This window comes from Homo sapiens, chromosome 4 (assembly GCF_000001405.40).
Source record: "Homo sapiens chromosome 4, GRCh38.p14 Primary Assembly".
Lineage (NCBI taxonomy): Eukaryota > Metazoa > Chordata > Mammalia > Primates > Hominidae > Homo > Homo sapiens.
This window is the reverse complement of record NC_000004.12, coordinates 65008734-65014733: the sequence shown is the minus strand read 5'-3', so window position 1 is coordinate 65014733 and position 6000 is coordinate 65008734.

Genomic DNA, 6000 nt, shown 5'->3' with positions numbered 1-6000 from the left:
TTGTCTTACATTCCTTTTTTAAAGCAATGCCTGGCCCATTCTAGTTGTTCAGTAACAATCTTTTAGATGAATCATTAATTGACAGATGGACTCCTTATCTCAAGGTTTTACATACTATGCATATAATTCAGTAAGGTGGAAGTCATATAATATTTCTAGTTAAAATACCTTTGAGCTTATCTGTTTAGTGCTTATGATATGGGAGTGGGGCAGGGAAGTGCTTGGTAGAGAAGGGTGGGTCCTTGGTAAGGGCTCCACCCCGAGGCCTGTGCCCTGGGATCTAGTTGAGGACAGGCATTTTTGTTTTTGTGCCCAAATGTTGCATTTCCCAAGACTACCCTGGCCTGCCACAACCCTGTGCTGTGACCCTAGCTGGCAGAGACACAAGCGGCTGGATATCACAAGGAACACACTGGCAGAAGAGCATACTGACAGGCACTGGCAGGCACCAGCAGTGTGGCAGGTCATCAACCGGCAGAACAATGTGGAGTTTGGCTGGGGCAGCTGGAGGAAAGCCTGGCCACTGAGTGCCCTGACTCCAGGGGAAAACCACCTTCCCACTCCATCTCCTTTCTGGCTCCCCCATCTGCTGAGAGCTACTTCCACTCAATAAAACCTTGCACTCATTCTCCGAACCCATGTGTTATATAATTCTTATGGTGCACCAAGGCAAGAAACCCTGGGATACAGAAAGCCCTCTGTCCTTGAGTGAGGCAGGCAGTCTAATAGAGCTGACTAACACAAGCTGCCTAGGGACGGCTAAACTGAAAGAACACACTGTAACACATGACACTGGGGCTTCAGCTATAAACATTCACCCCTGGACACTGCTGTGAGGTCAGAGCCCCACAGCCTGCCCATCTGCATGCTCCCCTAGAGGTGTGAGCAGTGGGGCACCAAAGAAGCAAGCCACATCCCCATCGCATGCCCTGCAAGGGTGACAAGGGAAGGTTTCCTGTTTCACTTATAGTAACATCACTTAGTTTTTCTTTGAAATGTTACATTCACCATAAGGTATTTAAAATAATGTACTCAACCTCAAGTTGTTTTTGCTTTCTTTTCTAACATGAAGTTCATGAATCAGTCGTTATAATGTCTCTGTTTAGGCTTGGGAGAAAAATTTTTAAATTCTCTAAATCTAATAAAAGTTTTATGTTCATATACATGTTTTTTTGTGATGACTCTCCATACTTGTCAGATTGTCAGAGATATTATTGATCAAAAATATAATTAAGAAGTAGTGTTGTCCTTGGTTGGGTTGTAATTACCACATTACAAGGAATTGAGATCTCAGGATATTAGACTTGCAAAGAAAAGAAGGAAGGAAGAAAGGAAATGAGAGAGAGAGAGAAAGGAAAAGATAGGAAAAAAATGAAGAAAAAGGGAAGAAAGGAAAGAGAGACCAAAGGGAAGGATTTAGATTTAACACTGTAAAAGAATGAGGAAAATAATTTTCTGAATAATTTACAGTACTTCATTATGAAATCTCTTATTGATCCAACATTTTGTAAGCCTTTTTCTATTCCAAATTTCTTCAGTAAAATGTATGCAAAATTATTTCATTCCAGCAATGTTTCTAATATGCTTTAAGCCTGAAAATGTTGCAACTTACAGTTAATCATTTTTTGATTTATGTATTTAATATAGTTCAGCATGCAATGTTATGATGAGTTAACCTGACCTAATTGACATGAGATATATGAGAAAACTTTCTGTTCTGACTCAAGTGCCAAAGACTAATTTTATGGGGCAGAAAGCATAGTAGGGTTTAAATAATCAGGACTTAGAAATGAAGACATAGAGAAAAACCACATCATTAATATACAAATAATGTGCACATACACAGAGTTCAAATTATACCCCAGTGCAGAGCAGAATCTGAAATAGTCTGCAGCACTTGAAAAATAATGGATTTTCATTTACTAGGATTAGAACCATTATTGTTCAAATACTACTGTAAAGACTCACATGTGATTATAACTTCTCCTTTGATTTGATGAGTCTCCTTTTCCTCCTATGAATTCTTTTTCAAATATTTTACTATTAAAACTGTATTTTGCAAAACTTGGATTTCACACTTCTCACTAGTTGGGGAGTAAAGTAGGCCATAAATCACTGCTATGCAAAACAGTTTTTCTTAATTTAATTTCCTTCTGCTTAGAACCCATTCAGTAATTACATTAGTAGCCTGATGTGCCCTGGAATAAGTATATGACTATAGTGCTTAGCCTAAATTGTTTTGATAACAAATCTGCAGAACTAGGACGCAGTTATATTGGTTTTTTTAGAATACCAGATGCTTGAATCTTGGAATATCAACTACCTCCCAGTCATTTCCTAAGCCATTTGTGCATGATCAAAAGAAATTTATCATCATTTCCTCAGAAAGAGTTGGCTTAAGCTGTGTGGTAGACCTTCTGTGCCTTACTAATTTAGCTCCACGTGTCTCTGAGATATGGATGCTCTCTTCTGGTTACTCCTAGAAATACCCTTCAGAATCTGCAACACAACATTTAGTAGTCAAAGCCCTAGAACAGCATATAGCCATTGAGTTCTATGGCTCTCACTGAAATCACAGAGCTAAAATAAAGTTCTATGACTTTTTAAATAAATGAACTTGAAATAGTTATTGAATAGCATATCTGTTTATGGCTCCATTGGGATTGCCATGAGCTTCATTATATATGGTTTCAACAGATGTGTCTGCATCAAACTATTGAGGTCGCTAATAGTGTTTGAGTTCATATAAAGGAAACTCACTGGATGTGTTTTGAATATATGAATATGTTAATTTTTAACACAGAGAAGGGGGAGAGTTTGGGAAATTAAATTGTATCACTTTTTTTTAGATTCTCTGATAGGGTACCTGTAATAAACCTTATTAGTACCAACTTCAATATTTTCTAATCTGTGACAATTTAATCATATATTAGCCTGTAACATAATTTGTTGAGAAAAATATAGTTTAGAGAAAAGAAACAATTAACTACATGTATTTTCTTAGACAATAATTATTCTATTTAATATACAATATGCCATATCATAGTATTATGTTAGAAAAATAACTTCAGAAGTACACATGTATAATATTGTATGCTTATGTGACCACTGTGGTATTTAAGATATTATATAAAATCTCAACTGGAAGTCATCAGGTGAATAGTTCAGGCTAACTTTCCTTTATCTTTTTATTGATGTAGGTAAATTATTACATTAGTAAAACAAAACAAAGCAAACACTTGTATCTCTTTGGCTTTGAACTTTTCCAGATTACACATTAACAAAGTATATGCTATAGAATCAAGAAACATCACTGTCATTCATACTCATTAAAGAGAATATAAAGAATGGGAAACACGATGTTAAAGGTTTGCACTGAAAGTTAAAAAAAAAAAAAAGCACACTAATTCAGAATTGAGGTCTTCCGAATAATTATAATTGAAATTCATTATGTAGGACATATATCAGGCAGCAATCAACTAGGTTTTCTGACTTAATAAGTTTGTTTAATGAAAATATGGAGAATAAATTGGGGGGAAAAGTTCAAGAATTGTTTTTACCTCATTATAAATGTCCATCAATATGGCTTTAAAATGTTTATCTTTCACACAGGTGACAAAATTAATCTTTCATAGTTTGATGGAATTTTTATCTCATTGCTTTTTCTCAATTGGCAGTAAGCACTGATAATGTAGAATTGAACACTTGTACAATGCTACCCTTTGATGAAAATTTTGTCCTTTTTCTCTGACATTATTTTTTTCTGAACCAGTTTCTCTTGAAAAATCAATAACCATAGCACATTCATTGATTTTTTTCCTTATCAATAGCACCAACTCTCTGATTCAAAATATACAAGTACTCTTTATTGCTCTCCATTATTCAAAATGTTCATTTAATTACATTTGCCATGTTCTTTAATATAGTTTACTTTAAACTAACTTTACATACAATTATCAAAAGTTTAAATGTAAGACACACCATATAGTTACCTTGTACCACAAAATTATCAAGATCTAAATCTTGTTTTTCTTTTCTTTTTAAGTACACTTGCTCATTTAGTTGGTGACACTTCAAGATAATCCTCAAATGTAATCAGGCAGATGCACTGTAATTCTTAAAAATAAGTTAGAACAAAACAATTAATGCAACAAAATAAAAGCAAAAATGAAGAATGATAAACTAAAATGTACCTTAGCCAAAATAGACATCATCCATAATAAAGTTATAATACCCAGATTTCTTTATTAAACTCCCATATTTCCATAATTCTTTTATTTTTACTGGTTCTCAACTTTGAATTCTTTCCGCAGTGCCATTTCTTATGTTCTTCAGTGGATTCTTAATGCATCTTGTTCTGACATACAGATATTGACTTCACTATTCTCAACTCCATGAACACAACCTGACATTTCTCTGCTTCTCTAATGATCATTTCCTTCAGGCTTCTGATTTTTATTTTACAACCCCCACCTTTGAACCTTCTTCTTCCTTTGACTCCTTTTCTGCCTCATTGACTAATTATTATTATTATTATTATTATATTATTTTGAGATGGAATCTTGCTCTGTTGCCCAGGCTGGAGTGCAGTGGCTCAATCTTGGCTCACTGCAACCTCCTCCTCCTGTGTTCAGACGATTTTCCTGCCTCAGCCTCCCAAACAGCTGGGATTACAGGTGCATGCCACCACGACTGGCTAATTTTTGTGTTTTTAGTAGAGACAGGGTTTCACCACGTTGGCCAGGCTGACCAACAAGTGATTCGCCCACCTCGAACTCCCAAAGTGCTGGGATTACAGGCATGAGCCACCGCACCCAGCCTAATTTTTTTCTTTTTCCAATGCTTAGCTGTGATGGTGAGGAATATGAAGTTGGGAGAGTTGGGTGTGGTATTAAAATTTTTATTAAGAAAACAAAAACATTTATTGAATTAAAATTATAGCTCAATTACAGCTCAACATATTTATTTATTTTGTAACATACTTTTCTTTGAGTTGTAATTCTTCGTCCAAATCTGATATTTATAAAGGGCTTAAAACATGATTATCATATATTTTACAATATGTCCTACTTCTTGTGATTTACTTACCTGTATTTTGCCAGATGATCAATAAAATTACTTTTAAAAATATCACTTGCAGATCTTGCAAAACAGTTGTCTAGTCAGAATTTGTCTGGTTGCAAATGGCAGGAACCCAAATAAACTAACTGAAGCAGAAAATGGTGTTTATAGGAAAGATCCTATATGAAATCACAGAATTAACAGAAGATAAGCAGGTATCATCTGCAGGGACTTCAGTGACTGAAACTGCAGATTAAATACCATCAGCATACTGCCCCCCTCGTCAATTTTTCTCTCCTTGGCTAAATCCTTTCCCACTGCAGTTTTCTTTCTTTCTCTCTCCAAGTTCTAATAGATTACATTCTAAGGAAGGATTGTGATTGGCCTGGATTGAGTCATAAGTCTACTCTTAATTGTTCTGCTTAGAGGCATAGGGAAATATGGTTGACCGGGTCTAGGCTACAGGTCCAGCTCCATAAATTATCAAAGCACCGGACTGGAACTCCCTCATAATATGGTTTAAGTGGGGAAGAAAATATTTCTTTAAAAGGATGGAGAAGTATCTGTTACCACAAAAAAAGTGAAATAGTGCTGGGAAGATAGAACCCAATTAAGAAGACCATAATATTTTGAATTTTAAGAAGCCCTTTTTTTAGTAGACCATAAGTGATTACAGTAAAAAAAAACATTTAGAGAAAAAAGAAAGGAAATAATGAAAATGGGTAACAGAATTGTTCTTATTATCTTATGTATTCATTAGGCTGGGGACAGCTCTCTGAAAATAGGAATAAATAGTGGCTCCTCGATAAACACCTTCTTGCCTACAGCATGTGTGACTGCAAACACATTCCCACTTCAACTAATCCAAGACGAGAAGGATGACAAAATAAGGTATCATAGATTCATTGCCAAAATCATGACTTTCTGTATTAAAAACTT